The sequence below is a fragment of the Homo sapiens genome, chromosome 11 (assembly GCF_000001405.40).
Source record: "Homo sapiens chromosome 11, GRCh38.p14 Primary Assembly".
In the NCBI taxonomy this organism is placed as follows: Eukaryota; Metazoa; Chordata; class Mammalia; order Primates; family Hominidae; genus Homo; species Homo sapiens.
Genome location: NC_000011.10, coordinates 14,814,854 through 14,832,914, shown reverse-complemented (window position 1 = coordinate 14,832,914; position 18,061 = coordinate 14,814,854). Strand labels below are relative to the sequence as shown.

The 18,061-nt window shown below is 36.8% G+C and overlaps 1 protein-coding gene across 11 annotated transcripts in view, besides 1 other annotated feature; it reads right to left on the bottom strand.

Annotated features, from left to right (window-relative positions):
- The window catches only part of PDE3B (phosphodiesterase 3B), a 255,518-nt gene that overhangs the window by 66,407 nt on the left and 171,050 nt on the right, over nucleotides 1–18,061 (bottom strand). For 10 of the 11 annotated variants that reach the window (NR_190763.1, NR_190764.1, NR_190766.1 and 7 more), the window contains 5 exons: nucleotides 14,522–14,732; nucleotides 13,706–13,779; nucleotides 2,069–2,217; nucleotides 1,138–1,275; nucleotides 82–193 (listed from right to left, as the gene is read on the bottom strand). Coding sequence is in view for 7 of the 11 variants with exons in the window: in NM_001429700.1 (NP_001416629.1) it covers nucleotides 82–193; nucleotides 1,138–1,275; nucleotides 2,069–2,217; nucleotides 13,706–13,779; nucleotides 14,522–14,732 (684 nt within the window). In the remaining 4 variants the exon portion in view is untranslated. Of the gene's footprint in view, nucleotides 1–81; nucleotides 194–1,137; nucleotides 1,276–2,034; nucleotides 2,218–13,705; nucleotides 13,780–14,521; nucleotides 14,733–18,061 lie in introns of those variants that run through there. The other variant, XM_047427115.1, reaches the window with a different exon arrangement.
- Nucleotides 15,499–15,674: a silencer, noted in NCBI's record as "fragment chr11:14838787-14838962 (GRCh37/hg19 assembly coordinates)". NCBI's record gives its function as "represses an EF-1alpha promoter that drives an FKBP-Casp9 reporter gene in an ReSE screen in K562 erythroleukemia cells {active_cell/tissue: K562}" and the evidence as "EXISTENCE:reporter gene assay evidence [ECO:0000049][PMID:32094911]".

Here is an 18,061-nt window from a genome sequence, read left to right as displayed (position 1 = left end):
GACCATCTGAAGAGAAAGATGATAAAGAGTTTCAAAACCCATATTATTTGAACTTAAATAATAAAATATGTTAATACTTACAAGGAATGTCTCGATAGCCATTTTCTAATGCACGAAAATAGTTCATAAATTGTTGAGTGGGAATTTTAAATATTTCCAATAAACCAGTGTCTTGAAATAAGGTATACATAACCTAAATGTCAATTAAAATAAAGTTTACTTTAAAAATCAGAATTTCTATTTGTAGCTGAGTATAATGTTTTTGTGATTTGTATTCTGGAATGTTAACCATGTATTAATATACGTCTTTAATAATTTATTTAAAACTTGCCTACAATTAATTCTTTCAAAAAAATCAGAATGGAAGATGTCACCCTAAAGCCACTGAAAATTAAAGAAGGCTTACCATACATATCATGTCCCAATTTTTAATTTTTCCATTCTTCTCCTTAGCTTTTTATTCCTAATTTACTGAAGGTCATGTGAATTCTATTCTAATCTAGTCCTGGGTATTAAAAACAAAATTCAAAACAATACTAAGTTTATCACATTTTTATCCCTAAGAACTTCAATTAAATGAACTTATATATTTCACAAAATTTATCCTTACGTTTTTGCATTTCATAAATAAGATATGAAAGTAATTAATGAGAGTAATATTTTGGGGCAGTTAATCTGATGCTGTTATGCGGACCCATCAGGTATAACCCTGAGTCTGGGTGGTAAAATCAAAGTACTTTCCCATGGTTCTAGCATGAAATGAATCATCCGGCCTTGGGTAAAGTATAGGGAGTGCAGGTGAAAAAAATGAAGCTTAAATTGCAATGGTTAGAACTAGATGATATTTTCATATCCTTTTCAACCTCCACATTCAAGAAAATGTAAATCTTTATTATTTCTTTGGCATAAATTAAATCCCATTAATATGGTCAAATAAACTACTTGTCATATATATAATAGTATGATCTACATCTTATATATAATTGTTTTATGTATATATTTATTTTTTTCTGAAAAAAATAATGAACAATGTCATTGTTGAACTAGTGCTTAAACCATTACATATTAGATTTTGCTTTTTATAAAGATTTAAGAAAAATTAATTTACAGTTAAAAAGTAGATATTTGAAAGCAAACCTGACTGAGAATCCTTCCTGATTTCTCTCCCATCTTTTCTACAAGTTCAAAAATTGGAAAATTCCAGTTGCTCATCTTTTCTATTAATGAGTCATACTCTTCTACTAAAATCAGGTCCAGTGATACTTCCTGTTCAATCTGTACATACAGGGAAACAACAACTTTATTTTATCTTTTATAAATACTGTAAAATATATATTACAATGAGAACACTTAGGATTAAACATTTAAAAAAGTCAGTACTATTTTCTATAATGGTTATTCTTAAATATAGTCTTATCTGCCCTTCTAATTTCTCTTTCTAGAATGTTATCTTCAAAAACTAAAAACATAACTCCTGGGTGTAAGACTTATTAATCTTCTTATATTACTTTTATGAATAAAAGTATTATATTTCCAAATTACTACACAAATCCAAAGTCTATTATTTTCATTTTAGTAGTTACAGGTATCAAAGGGTAAGAGGAAAAAAAACCATATCCTTATATTGGCATTTATTACCAGGATAATTTTTCAAAAGAAATAGGTGTTTCTTTTCCTTAAAAGCCTAAATTTTGAAATTTAAGAACAAAACTATATTGCCATTATAAATACATTGTTTTCATTGTTTTTAGTAACATGCACATATTCTCTATACCTTCACATACGCAAAAGAAAATATCAGAATAGAAAATAATATATTTTATATAAAACTAAATAAAATATGTTCATTTAAAACTGAATGCAGTTTGTTGCTTTAGGATGATAGAATTAGAACAAGTTACTGTATTATTTGTAACCCAAGCAATATTTCAGTTATAGTGACTTATAAGTAAAAAAATTAAAAAATACTACTATATTAAAAATCTTGTTCTGGGCAAAAGTAATGAAACCAGTACTAACAGTATTATATTTCACCTTAACATAATCATATTGAAAGTTTATCTTTTACATTTGTTTGCTGTTCACTCTGTGCCTCTTCTGTTAGCCACTTATCACCTTCCTGAAATAATTTTCTGCTGTCTTTCTTCTCTGTTTCCTCTTCTTGTTGAGTTTCCATAAGTTTGAATGATTCTTTCGAGAAAATGTTTTCTTCTTCACCTTTCAAAAAATATATATAGTAATATATAGGAGTAAAATGTGCCCTATATGTACAGCTTTACATGAAAAATAATTGTTAAAAATATTTAGATAAAATGAATCATAATGGAGTTCAATCTAAATTATTTCACGATACCATTAAGTTGTATCTTCCTGTGCTATTTTGCCTAGATACCTTATGCTCAGGCAACAAAGACACTTCCTGTATTGGACTCACCTTTCATATCTACTCATGGATGCTAAGTGGATATTCTTTATAAAAGTGAGAAAAAGAAAAAGTTCCTATCAATAGAAATTTTCTTACCAATTTGATATAAACAATTTCCAACATCTCTGAGTTTTAGATAAAAATTCTAAAATCATAATTACAAATCAATAAGATTAAATCACATGTAAACCTTAAACCATAATATTATTAATGGTGAGTTATATCTCTACCAATGTAATAATTTCTTTTCTCAAATCACATGGAAAAGAAGAGCAGTATTCATAGCTAAATAGCATTCATTCACGTGTTAAAAAACATTCATATTCATTCTATTTGTAATATCTTAAACAGGGAAATTACCCAAAACCTATCGACAGTAGAATAAATAACTTGTGGTATATTTACACAATTGATCACTACAGAGCAAAGAGAATGAACTACAATATGGATGGTACTTAAAAATATAATGTTTAGTGAAGGAAGCCAGGCATAAAAGTATATACTCTCTGATTCTCTTTAAGAAAAGTTCAAAAGCGTATGAAAGACAAAAAGATCATTATCTTTGGGGCATATGATTGGAAGGGGTCATGATGGGTAATTTTGAGGTGTGGGTAATATTTTGTTTCTTTTTTAAAAAACAACTTTTATCTTAGGTTCAGGGGTACATGTGCAGGTTTGTCATATAGGTAAATTTGTGTCATGGAGTTTGTTGTACAGATTATTTCATCACCCAGGTACTAGGCCTAGTACCCAATTACTATTTTTTTCTGATTTTCTTCCTTCTCCCACCCTCCACCATCAGGTAGGCCCCAGTATCTGTTGTTCTCCTCTTTATGTCCATGTGTTCTCGTCATTCATCTCCCACTTATAAGTGACAGTATTTGGTTTTCTGTTCCTATGTTAGTTTGACTCCAGCTCCATCCATGTCTCTGCAAAAAACATTACCTCAGTCTTTTTTATAGCTGCATAGTATTCCATGATGTATATATACTACATCTTCTTTTCTTTGCCTTTTCTCTTAGAAAAACTATGATAATCATTTATTACTTTTCCACTATGGACATATAAGATAGAGCCCAAACTATATAGTAAAATAGAATCTGGATTCAAATCTAAATACTACTTATAGAAATGAGTCCTAGCCTCACTACTTCACTAGCTGTGATTTTTTTTCATTTATTTATTTTTTAAGTTTAGTGGTACAAGTGCAGGTTTGTTACATAGGTAAGCATGTAACAAAGGGGTTTGTTGTACAGGTTATTTCATTACTCAGGTATTAAGCCTAGTACCCATTAGTTGTTTTTCTGATCCTCTCCCTCCGCCCACCCTCCACCCTCTGACAGGCCCCAGTGTGTGTTGTTCCCCTCTATGTGCCCATGTGTTCTCATCAGTTAGCTCCCACTTATAAGTGAGAACATAACAATATTTGGTTTTCTGTTCCTGTGGCTAAGGATAATGGTCTCCAGTTCCATCCATGTCCCTGCAAAGGACACAATCTCATTCTTTTTATGGCTGCATAGTATTCCATGGTGTATATGTACCATATTTTCTTTATCCAATCTATCATTGGTGGATATTTAGGTTGATTCTATGTCTTTGCTATTGTAAATAGTGCTGCAATAAACATACACACGCATGTGGCTTTATAAGAGAATGACTTATATTCCTTTGGATATATACCCAGTAATGGGATTGCTGGGTCAGATGGTATTTCTATTTTTAGGTCTTTGAGGAATCACCACACTGTCTACCACAATGACCGAACTAATTTACACTCCCACCAACAGTGTATAAGTGTTTCTTTTTCTCCCCAACATCGCCAGCATCTGTTATTTTTTGCCTTTTTAACAGCAGCCATTCTGACTGGTGTTAGATGGTGTTTCATTGTGGTTTTGACTTGCATTTCGCTAATGATCAGTGATGCTGAGCTGTTTTTCATATGATTGTTGCCCATATGTATGTCTTCTTTTGCAAATTGTCTGTTCATATCCTTTGCCCACTTTTTTATGTTTGTTTTTTCTTGTCAATTTAAGTTCCTTGTAGGTGCTGGATATTAGGCCTTTATCAGATGCATAGTTTGCAAAAATTTTCTCCCTTTCCATAGGTTGTCTGTTTACTCTGCTGATAGTTTATTTTGCTGTGCAGAAGCTCTTTAGTATAATTACATCCCATTTGTCAAGTTTTGCTTTTGTTATGATTGCTTTTGGCATCTTTGTCATGAAATCTTTGCCAGTATCTATATCCAGAATGGTATTGACTCAGTTGTCTTCCAGAGTTTTTATAGTTTTGGGTTTTACATTTAAGTCTTTAAACCATCTTTAGTTGATTTTTGTATATGGTGTAAGGAAGGGATCCAGTTTTAATCTTCTACATATGGCTAGCCAGTTATCCCACCACCATTTATTGAATAGGGAGTCCTTTCCCCATTAATGGGCTTGTTTTTGTTGGCTTTGTCAAAGATCAAATGGTTGTAGGCATGTGGTCTTATTTCTGGGCTCTCTATTCTGTCCCATTGGTCTATGTGTCTGTTTTTGTACCAGTACCATGATATTTTGTTACTGCAGTTCTGCAGTATACTTTGAAATCAGGTAATATGATGCCTCCAGCTTTGTTCTTTTTGCTTAGGATTGCCTTGGCTACTCAGGCTCTTTTTTGGTTCCATATGAATTTTAAAATAGCTTTTTCTAGTTTTGTGATGAATTTCATTGGTAGTTTGTTAGGAATAACACTGAATCTATAAATTGCCTTGGGCAGTATGACCATTTTAATGATATTGATTCTTCCTATCCATGAGCACAGAATGTTTTTCCATTTGTTTGTGTCATCTCTGCTTTCTTTGAGCAGTGTTTTGTAATTCTCATTGTAGAGGTCTTTAACCTCCCTGATTAGCTATATTCCTAGGTATTTTATTCTTTTTGTGGCAATTGTAAATGGGATTGTGTTCCTGGTTTGGCTCTTGTTTTGGCTGTGTTAGTGTATAGGAATGCTAGTTATTTCTGTTCATTGATTTTGTATCCTGAAACTCTGCTGAAGTTACTTATTAGCTTAAGGAGCTTTCGGGCCGAGACTTCGGGGTTTTCTAGATATAGAATCATGTCTGCAAACAGGGATAGTTTGACCTCCTCTCTTCCTATTTGGATGCCCTTTATTTCTTTCTCTTTCCTGATTACTGTGGTCAAGACTTCCAATACTATGTTAAATAGGAGTGGTGAGAGAGGGCATCCTTGTCTTGTGCCCGTTTTCAAGGGGAATGCTTCCAGCTTTTGCCCATTCAGTGTGATGTTGGCTGTGGGTTTCTCCTAGATGGTTCTTATTATTTTGAGGTATGTTCCTTCAATACCTAGTTTATTGAGTTTTTAACATGAAGGGATGTTGAATTTTATCAAAAGCCTTTTTCTGCATCTATTGAGATAATCATGTGGCTTTTGTCTTTAGTTCTGTTTATGTGATGAATCAGGTTGACTGATTTGCATATGTTGAACCAAACTTGCAACCTAGGGATGAAGCCTATTTGATCATGGTGGATTGCCTTTTAGATGTGCTGCTGAATTTGGTTTGCAAGTATTTTGTTGAGGATTTTTGCATCAATTTTCATCAAGGATATTGGCTTGAGGTTTTGTTTTTTTCTTGTGTCTCTGCTACGTTTTGGTATCAGAATGATGCTGGCCTCATAGTATGGGTTGGGGGAGGAGTCCTTCCTCCTCATTTTTTTGTAATACTTTCAGTCCTTCCTCTTCAGTTTTTTGTAATACTACTTTCAGTATAAATAGTACCAGCTCTTCTTTGTACATCTGGTAGGATGTGGCTGTGAATCCATCTGGTCCTGGGCTTTATTTTTATTTATTTATTTTGGTTGGTGGGCTATTTATTACAGATTCCGTTTTGGAGCTTCTTATTGGTCTATTCAGGGAATCCATGTCTTCCTGGTTCAGTCTTGGGAGGGGTTATGTGTACAGGAATTTATCCATCTCTTCTAGGTTTTCTAGTTTGTGTGTAAAGAGGTGTTCATAGTAGTCTCTGATGGTTGTATTTCTGTGGGGTCAGTGGTACCACCCCCTTTGTCATTTCTAATTGTGTTTATTTGGATCTTCTCTCTTTTCTTCTGTATTTCTCTAGCTAGCAGCCTATTTATCTTACTAATTTTTTCAAAAAATCAACTCCTGGTTTCATTCATCTTTTGGATGGTGTTTTTGTGTCTCAATCACCTTCAGTTCAGCTCTGATTTTGGCTATTTCTTGTTTTCTGTCAGCTTTTGGGTTGGTTTGCTCTCTCTTCTCTAGTTATTTTAGTGGTGATATTAGGTTGTTAATTTGGGATCTCTCTAAATTTTTGATATGGCTGCTTAGTGCTATAAATTTCCCTCTTAACACTGCCTTGGCTGTGTCCCAGAGATTTTGTAGGTTGTATCTTTGTTCTCATTCGTATTAAAAAACTTCTTGATTTCTGCCTTAATTTCACTATTTGCCCAAAAGTCATTCAGGAGCCAGTTGTTTACTTTCCATGTAATTGCATGGTTTTGAGTGATTTTTTTTAGTCTTGATTTCTATCTTTATTGCACTGTGGTCCAGGAGTATGTTTGGCATGACTTCAGTTCTTTTACATTTGCTGAGGGTTGTCTGATGGATTTTAGAATATGTACCATGTGGCAATGAGAAAAATGTACATTCTGTTGTTTTTGAGTGGAGAGTTCTGTAGAGGTCTATCAGATCCATTTGGTCCCATATTGAGTTCAGGTCCTGAATATCTTTGTTAATTTTCTGCCTCAGTGACCTAATACTGTCAGTGGAGTGTTGAAGTCTCTCACTATTATTGTGTGGGAGTCTAAGGCACTTTGTAGATCTCTAAGAACTTGCTTTATAAATCTGGGTACTCCTGTGTTGGGTGAATACATATTTAGAATAGTTAGGTCTTATTGAATTGAACCCTTTACCATTATGTAATGCCCTTCTTTGCCTTTTTTGATCTTTGTTGGTTTAAAGTCTGTTTTGTCTGAAATTAGGATTGCAACCTCTGCTTTTTCCTGATTTCCACTTGCTTGGTAGATTTTCCTCCATCCCTTTGTTTTGAGCCTATGGGTGTTGCTGCCTGTGAAATGGGTCTCTTGAAGACAGTGTATCATTGGGTCTTACTTTTTTTAAAATCCAGTTTGCCACTCTATGCCTTTTAAATGGGGCATTTAGCCCATTTACACTCAAGGTTAGTATAGATGTGTGTGGATTTGTTCCTGTCATTGTGCTGTTACCTGGTTATTAAGCCAGCTTGTGTGGTAGCTTTACATCACTGGGTCTGTGTACTTAACTGTGTTTTTTTGTATTGCCTGGTAATGGTTCTTCCTTTCATATTTAGTGCTCTTTTCAAGATCTCTTTTAAGTGGGTCTCGTAGTAACAAATGGTAGTAACAAACTTCCTCAGCATTTGCTTATCTGAAAAGGATCTTATTTCTCCTTCACTGAGGAAGCTTAGTTTGGCTGGATATGAAATTCTTGAAGATTTTTTTTTTTTTTAAGAATGTTGAATATAGGAGCCCAGGCTCTTCTGGCTTGTAGGGTTTCTGCTGAGATGTCCACTGTTAGCCTGATCAGGTTCCCTTCGTAGGTGACCTGCCCTTTCTAGCTGCCTTTAACATTCTTTCCTTGATTTCAAACTTGGAAAATCTGATGATTATGCATCTTGGGGATGATCTTCTTGAGTAGAATCTTGCACGAGTTCTCTGTATTTCCTGAGTTTGGGTGTTGGCCTCTCTAGCAAGGCTGGGGAAGTTTTCATGGATGATATCCTGAAATATGTTTTCCAGGTTGTTTGCTTTCTCCTGTCAGGGATGTCAATGATGTGTAGATTTGGCCTCTTTACACAATCCCATATTTCTAGAGGTTTTGCTCATTCCTTTTCATTCTTTTTAAAATAATTTTTGTCTTACTTTCTTATTTCAGAGAGTCAGTCTTCAAGTTTCAAGATTCTTTCCTCAGCTTGGTCTCTTTTGCTGTACTTGGAATTGCATTACAAAATTCTTGTAGTGTGTTTTTCAGCTCTATCAGATCAGTTAGGTTCCTTTTCATACTGGCTATTTCATCTGTCAGCTCCTGTATCATTTTATTGTGATTCTTAGTTTTGTTGAACTGGGTTTTGCCATTCTCCTGATCTTGATTATCTTTGTTCCTATCCATATTCTGAATTCTATTTCTGTCATTTCAGCCAGCTCAGCCTGGTTAAGAACTAGTGTGGTTGTTTGGAGGTCATAAGATACTGACCATTTAGGTTGCTGGAGTTCTTGCATTGGTTCTTTCTTATCTCTGCATGTGGCTCTTCCTTTAACTGCTGGGCTGCCTCTGATTGATGTGGTCTGACAGGGACAGCGTGTTTGTGCTAGAGTACCAGGTTGAGAGGAGAAGTGAGGACCAGGACCTACGTGGAGAACAGTCCGACCACTTTTCTGTGAGGTGGATACTCTGTGCTCGGGTATGGACTAGCTAGCCCCTGGTCCCCACAGATTCTCCAAAGCCTGAAGACAGCAAAGCCTAAGGCTGTGAGAAAGCAAAGATAGCAACCCACCCCTCCCACTGGGAGTTCTTTCCCAGGGAGTTCCAGAGCTGCTACTGGCTTGATAGCCTGGAGGTGAGGGGAGCTGGAGACCCAGGCCAGGAGGACCTGCCCAGTGAAGAGATATGAGATTGGAAACCCAAGTAACAAACAATCTGGTTACTTTTCTGTAGGGCTGCTGCAGTATGCTGGGGGTACACTCCAGTCCCTAGTCACCTTGGTTTATCTAGCACCTGAAGGTATCAACAGTGAAGGGTGTAAAACAGCAAAGATGGCAGTCCCCCTATCCCTCTGGGAGCTCCATCCCAGGGAGGTTTGAAACTGCTGCTGGTCAGAAAACACCAGCAGAGATGGCTGGACACCCTAGTTGGGAGGTCCCACCCAGTGAGGAGAAATAGGGTTGAGGACCTGTGTAAAAAAGCAGTCTGGCCACTTCTTTATATAACAGTTGGGCTGTGTTTGGGGTCTGCTGCAGCCCCCAGTCACTTTGGACTCTCCAAATCCCAAAGGCAACAATGGTTAAGGCTGCAAAACAGCAAAGATGGCAGCTTGCCCCTCCCTCTGGGAACTCCATCCCAGCAAAGTTTGAAACTGTTGCTGGACAGAAAACACTAGCAGGGGTGGTTGTAGACCTTGGTCACAGGATTCTGCCCAGTGAAAAGAAATAAGATCTGGGACCCATGTGAAAAAGCAGTCTAGCTGCTTTCCCATAGAGCTACTGTGCTGCGGTGAGAGACGGCTCCAGTACCTAGTCACCTTGGACTTCCTAGAGCCAGAAGGCAACAATGGCTAAGGCTGTGAAACAGCAAAGATGGCGGCCTGTCCCTCCCCCGGGAGCACTATCTCAGGGAGGCTCGGAACCACTGCCAGCTGAAAAACAGTGGCAAGAGTGGCTGGTTACCTTGGTTGGGAGGTCCTGCCCAGTGAGGAGAAGAGAGGTCAGGGACCCACATAAAAAAGCAAGCTGGCTGCATTTTTGTAGGGTGGTTACACTGAAGGCAACAATGGCTAAGGCTGCAAAACAGCAAAGATGGTAGCCTACCCCTCCCTCTGGGAGCTCCATCAACACTGCTACCAGTGGCTGGCTGGAGTTCCAAGCTAGTGGTCTTATCCTGCAAGGTGCTGTGGACATGGGACCTGAAGACCATTGCTGCTCAGACCCCTGAATTCAGCTACTTCTTAGGGGTCTGTATGGGGGTCTAACCTCCTACTTTGCCAAGTTGCAGCTGCTTTTGCCTAGAAACCCAAGTATCTATAGCTCCTGGGGCTCCACATGTGCCTGAGCAGCTACTCTGCCAAGATGCCACAGAGCTCTGCATATCAGACTGCAAGCCCTGGTGCAGTGGGTTTACGAGGAGGGTCTCCTGACTCAAGGGTTGCAAAGACCTATGGGAGAAGCATGGGTCCCCAGGGTTGCCCACTTACTCATGCTTCCCTGGGCGAGGGAGGCTCCCCTGGCTCCGTGTCACTCCCAGGTGGGCAGTCATCCTGCCTTGCTTTTCTACATTCTCTGTGGGTTGTTTTCTTGATGAATCCCAACATGTGTACATGTATGTTTCAGTTGAAGGTGCTGTATGTACTCACCCCTTCTATTTCTCTCCATGACAGCAGTGCACATTAGCTGCTTCTAGTTGGCCATTTTGGCCAGCCTCTTATTTTGTTTCTGGATCTGGGTGCTGATTATATGATAATTACATGCTATAAGCTCAATATGTAGAGTTTTGTTTGTTTTTTTGTAAAAAGAGATCTTGGCCAGGCATAACAGCTCATACCTATAATCCTAGTGCTTTGGGAGGCCAAGGCGGGAGGATCACTTGAAGCCAAAAGTTTGGGACTGGCCTGGGCAACAGAGCGAGTTCTCATCTCTACAAAAAAAAATTTTTTTAATTAGCCGGGCATGGTGCTGTAGTCCCAACTACTCAGAAGACTGAGGAGGGAAGATTGCTTGAGCCCAGGAGTTGGAAGCTGCAGTGAGCCATGATTGTGCCACTGTACTCTCTAGCCTGGATGACAGAGTAAGACTCTGTCTCAAAAAAAAAAAAAAAAATTCTTAAGAGTAATCATTGGAGTTGAGTTTCAGAAAACTAGGTTCAAATCCTGATTTTCGTACTTAATAATGGCAAGCTTTCTCCCCTGTAAAATTTGGATAATAATACCCATCTTACAAGATGTTATACATAATAGGTGATTAATAAATGTCAGTATAATCTCAACTTAATACAATGAATATACCAATCATTAATTGATTAGATGATGATCTGGAAGTATTACTGTTTAGAAAATATTATTTTTTCCAAATGAAAAAAATTAGTCTAAGAAATTAAATTTAGACTATTCGAGTATTCTTGGTAAGGTAAGGCAATAACTACAATGATATTCTAAAATAGAAGTTAATCTAAAAGTTGTTTGCACTTGAGGTATATTACATAATTTACTTTTTAATGATATGAACTCCTAATAACTATTATCTTACAGATAATAATAAAAACAGGTGAGGTAAATGAAGCATTTCTTTCTAAAGATGTCTACAACACTATCTCTTGTCCCAAACACTTTTCTGAAATGTATTCTTGTCACTCCTCTATCAAGACAGAGCATTTATTTACCAACCCTCTGGAATCTCAACAGGCCTCATGACTGCTCTGATAACAGAATATGGCAGAAGTGACACTCTGTTCTGAGTTCAGCCATTAACTGAACTGGTAGTTTCCACTTCCTACTCTCTTGGAATGCTGCCAACAAACTGAAGAAGCCCATGGAGGGGTCATATTTAGATGGACTGGTCAATAGCCAAAAGGCACATGAGTAACCCATCTTGGAAATTCTGCCCAATCAATCCTTCAGATAACTGCTTCCCCAACCAATATCTGACTGCACTGACTGCAATCTCATCAAAGTCCTCAGGTGAGAATCTCCCAGTTGAGGCTAGTCCACCCAAAGAAATATGACACTTAATAAATTATTGTTCTTTTTAAAAACTTTATTGAGTATAAATTACATACCATTAAAATCTACCCATTGTAAAATGCCTTAGTTCAGGCTGCTATAATTGGATACTACAGACTGAGTGGCTTATAAAAAAATAGGAATTTATTTCTCACAGTTAGGGAAGCTGGACGTCTGATATCAGGGTGCCAGCCTGGCCAAGTTCCAGTATTGCAGACTACCGATTTCACATTGTATCCTCACACGGTGGGAAAGAGGGTGGGAAAGAGAGTTTTCTGGGGTTCTTTTATAAGGGAACTAATCCCATTCATGAAGGATCCACCTTCATGACCTAATTACCTCCCAAAGGCCTTACCTCCCAATACCGTCATATCAGGGTATAGGATTTCGACACATGAATTTTTGGAGGAACACAAACATCCAGCCCACAAGTGTACAATTTAACAATTTTAGTATATTTGCAGTTATCAACAATCATTACAATCCAATTTTAGAACATTCTCAACACCCCCACCCAAAATGTTCCTTCATGCCTATTTATAGTTAATCCCTATTCTCACTTTATGCAACAACTGTTCTGATTATTGTCTCTATAAATTTGTCTTTCAAGAATTTCATATAAATGTAATCATATAATATATGATCTTTTGGGCCTGGCTTCTTTCACTTAGAATAATGTTTTGAAGTTCATCTATGTTGCAGCATGTATCAGAAGTTTATTCCTTTAATTGCTGAACTGAATTCCATTGTAATGATATACAAAAAAAAAAAAAAGAATGAGTTGGGAAGTGTTCCCTCCTCTTCTATTTTTTGGAAGAGTTTGTGAAGAATTAGTCTTTTTATTTTATTTTATTTGTTAACAATCCTTTAAAATGTAAAAAACAAAAAACTATTAAATTGCACACTTTAAAAGGGTAAGTTTTATGGTATGTAAAGGGATTGAGAAGAACCTATAATCCCTGAAAAGGCTTATCTATTTTTGGTTTAACTTTTTTCTTAGGATACAACACTTTAGAGTTTATCAAGTTATCCAAACCATGGCAAGCCTTCAACTCTAGCCTCTGTCTTCCTAGCCCCATGAAGCTGCTAATAAAATTGCTCATCCTATCAGTCATTGGTCTCTGTGGAATTGGCATACACTCTTTTGATAGCCCCAAACTCCAGGCTCACTTTCTTGGAGTTCTGTCTTCCAACAGATCTTGTACTGGTGATTCATAAGATTTTTTTAGTTCTTCAATGGCTTCAAGTAGATTTTTTTTAAAAAAATAATTCATCCACCTTTTCTAGCTGCCCTCAGGGGAAATGTTGGTCTGAGTTACTTAGTTAACTACTACTGGTAGTTTGAGTCATCAAATTTTAAGGTTATAAAACAACTATAATTTCATCAACACAATATGTCTTGTATGAGGATACAAAATATTTCAGAATGATATAATTAACCACACTTTAAAACAACCCCTCTTTATGCCATAAAAAATTTATGCAAAACCGTTTGGATTTAGATTGTGCACTACAAATTTCAATGTTTAATATAAATAATTCCACTATTTATAAACAATAGACATAACCTAAGAAGACTACATTCATTTGTATGGGACATTTTTATTCTTTGAATTACTTTCACCATCTATTACTTATAATTTGTTCTAAATAAGTCCTCTGTGAAGTGGGTAAAAAATAATAATCTTCATTTTAAAGATGGATAAACTGAAGTTAAACTCATTCATTTTCCCATTCTAAAAATCATTGTAAGAAATTTCTCTTAAACTCAAATACATATGACTTTTGTAATCTCACCTGATTTTCCACTGCAGCAATCTGTACCATCTGATTCAGATGTTGAAACATATTTCAGCATTTGATGTCCACAGCTTATAGAATAAAATAGATAAATATATACGGTAAATGAGGTACAAGTTTTTTACCTGAACACAATTAGAAAATCTGTTTAATTTTTAACCAAGATCCCAACTGCAACGCATCCTAAAATTCCAATCTCTCCATAAAGTTCAAAGGCTTTAACCTAGAAAGTATCTGTGTGTCCTTGAAGGAAACAAAATATTTTTGAAAAGTCAACATTGGATCTGAGGTAAACCCTTACTATTAGTAAAGCAGAAATAAGATCAAACACCATTTACTGGGTACTATGAATAGGTACTAAAGTAGTGTATACTAAAATACTTTAATATTTACTAAGATCTTAGGATGGGTAGAATACCATTATATTTTAGCTCAGATGGAGACCATTTAATTTAAAAAATTAATAACCACTAAAATGAGAAGATATTTATTTAGAATAAAAACTACTAGATAAATAAGGAAAAGAATATAGGCTGAATCCATCATCTAGTTATAACATAGAACTAGAAAACTGGTAATACTTTATTAAAATACAGTAAAGTCCTCAATATCATCAATAAGTTTTTGAAAACTGACATTTTAAGTGAAACAACTTATAGCACATCTTAAAATAATGTCATTTCATTATAACACCGAAAAAAACTATGGTCATTTAGCTTAAAGCTGGAGTTTCCAAGAACCTATCCAAAATGTTGAGGACTTAACTGTAATCAACATTTTGAAACAGAAATAATAAACAGTTGGGAAACTTACCTGTTACACAGATTGCTATCAGAATTTCTAAGTTGCTGATAAAAATCTGGAGTATTAGGTGCATTGCCCAGAGATCTCTGCAAGATAACGCTTGGCTTATTAAGAAAATCAGCAGTATCAGGAAATTCTATGGGTGATCGATTAGTTAGAGAGCCAGTAGACACTGGTCCATGGTTGGAAGAATTCACAGGACTCAGACTGGACAAAACACCTTTAAAAATTAAAAGAAAGGAGATAGATAAATAAGAATGTATTTATGTGTGTATGTTTATTAAATATATTTGTGTTTTTATGGATTTTTTCCTTATTTAAAAAAAGCAGATTATTTACAAATAAATTATAAATTCCTGCATGGGGCCTCACAATATTCTAGAAACTTATGCAATATTTGCCATATTTGTCATGATCAATGGCTGTTGGGTAAACACCCCTTGTTGGGTAAATATCTACATTTATAATAGGTAAATGTGAACAGTATGACTAAAACATACATACTGTATGGCAGAAATTTTCCTAATTCCTATTGGTCTTTAACTTTCACCTATGTGTCCCTATCAGATTGATTATCCACAAGAGCAAAGCATCTCTACCAAATTTTATTGAATTATTTTCAATTCAATAAAATTAAATTTTATTTAAATTCTCTTTTTTTGTCTGTGAGATGGGGTCTCATTTCATTGCCCAGGCTGGATTCCAGTGGCACAATCATGGCTCACTGCAGACTCAACCTCCTGGGTTCAATTGATCCTCTGGCCTTGGAGACTACAGGCACAGGCCACCGTGCCCAGCTAATTTACCTATTTTTCTGTAGAGACAGGGTTTCAAGATGTTGCCCAGGCTGGTCTCAAACACCTGGGCTCAAGTCATCCTCCTGCCTCAGCCTCCCAAAATGCTGGGATTACAAGCTTAAGCCACTGCATCTGGCCAAAGAACTAAAATTCTTTTTTTTTCTTTTTTAATTATACTTTAAGTTCTAAGGTACATGTGCACAATGTGCAGGTTTGTTACATATGTATACATGTGCCATGTTGGTGTGCTGCACCCATTAACTCATCATTTACATTAGGTATATCTCCTAATGCTATCCATCCCCCGTCCCCCCACCCCACTATAGGCCCCAGTGTGTGATGTTCCCCACCCTGTGTCCAAGTGTTCTCATTGTTCATTCCCACCTATGAGTGAGGACATATGGTGTTTGGTTTTCTGTCCTTGCGATAGCTTGCTCAGAATGATGGTTTCCAGCTTCATCCATGTCCCTGCAAAGGACATGAACTCATCCTTTTTTATGGCTGCACAGTATTCCATGGTGTGTATGTGCCACATTTTCTTAATCCAGTCTATCACTGATGGACATTTGGGTTGGTTCCAAGTCTTTGCTACTGTGAATAGTGCCGCAATAAACACAGGTGTGCATGTGTCTTTACAGCAGCATGACTTATAATCCTTTGGGTATATACCCAGTAATGGGATGGCTGGGTCAAAAGGTATTTCTAGTTCTAGATCCTTGAGGAATTGCCACACTATCTTCCACAATGGTTGAACTAGTTTATAGTCCCACCAACAGTGTAAAAGTAAGAACTAAAATTCTTAATAGCATTTAAGCAAGTTGAGAATAACATCATATGTTAATGCAATGTCAGATCGCTTTAAAAATTACATGAAAGTATTTCCAGCTCATTCATTCATTCAACAAATATTTAGAGCTTACTATATGCTGGAAAATATACTGGTTTTCACAATGAAGAAAAAGATACCATCCCTGAAATTCAATGAAGCTAGAGTGTAGTGAAGAATACAAACAAGTGCTAAGTGCTTAATAAGGGAACAAAACAGAGTGCTTCAGGAACACATAAGATGAGTCTATAATTCTGTCTATTTATTCCAGAAACCTTTGCTGAGTGCCTCAAACTAAAGCAGTGTGGGTATATCTGGAAAGATGCAGGCAGATTTATAACCTTATTTGAAAATAAAGACCCAAGTAAAGTCTCATTCAGAAAGGAAAACAAGTAACAGTCATTAAGGAGCTACAATATTTTCAGGCATAGTGGTAAACACTTACAGATGTGTGCGATGGTGTCAACTTGGTTATGGTGCTCAGTTGTTTATTCAAACACTAGTATAGATGTTGTTGTGAAGATATTTTTCAGATGTGATTAACATTTAAATCAATAAACTTTGAGTAAAGCAGATTAATTTCCATAACATGGGTGGGCCTCATCCAATTAGCTTAGGGCCTTATGAGAAAAGACTGAGGTCTCATAAAGAGGAAAAAATTTTGTCTCAGGTTCAAGACTGCAACATTAACCCTGCTGGAATTTTCAGCCTGCCAGCCTGTCCTGAAAACTTCCTACTTGCTTGCCTTGCAAGCCCACACAGTTGTGTGAGCCAATCCCTTAAAACAAACTTTCTCTCTCTTTCTCTGCGTGTGTGTGTGTGTGTGTGTGTGTGTGTGTGTATAAATATAATGTTCTTTATCTTTTGCCAATCTGATGATAAATAAAAGAGCACCGTACCTTTACTTTTTAATTTCCTCATTACTAATAAGGTTAAGCACATTTCATGTTTATATGCTATTTGTATAGTTTTTTTTCTGAAATCCTCATTCAAGTCTTTTGCTAATTTTTCTATTGGCTTGTGGTGATGGACACACTCTAAGGTAGCATTAACCCTTGCCCCCTGGTGTTCATGTCTTTGTGTAGAAAACACCTGTGACTAGCTTCTTATCAAAAGAAAGATGACAGGATGTCACCCCTATGATTATGTTTCATTATGAATTCCATCTTGCTAGAGACTCACTCTAGAGATTCTTCTTGCTAGCTCCATGAAGTAAGCAGCCATACTGAGGAAGACCATGTGACAAAAAACTATGGGCAGCCTCTACGAACTGTGGGTGGCCCCCAGCCAATAGCCATCAAGAACCCAGAGCCATCAAGAATCCACAACCAACGGAAATGAAGAACAACCTGAGGACAACCTGAATGAGCTTGGCAGCCGATTCATTCCCAGCTGATTCTCCAGATGAGAACAAGGTAGAGCCAACATCTTGTTTTGAGACTTATGACACCTCAAGCAGAGGACTCAGCTGTGTGTGGACTCTTGCACAAAAGCTGCTACATTTGTTGTAATCTGATATGCAGCAATAGAAAATGAATAGTTGTCCATAATTCTTCCACTGACAAAGTTCTTTATACAGCTGAATTCTAGTTCCTTCTCAGATGTTGTTACTATTTTCAATTCTTTTTATATGACTTTTTTTTTTGATGGAGTCTCACTCTATCGCCCAGGCCGGAGTACAGTGGTGCACTCTGGGCTCACTGCAGCCTCCATCTGTTGGGTTCAAGCAATTCTCCTGCCTCAGCCTCCCAAATAGCTGGGATTACAGGCACCCGCCACTACACCTAGCTTTTTTTTTTTTTCTTTTTTTGAGATGGAGTCTCACTCAGTTGCCCAGGCTGGAGTACAGTGGCGTGATCTCAGATCTCAGCTCACTGCAAGCTCCACCTCCCGGGTTCATGCCATTCTCCTGCCTCAGCTTTCCCA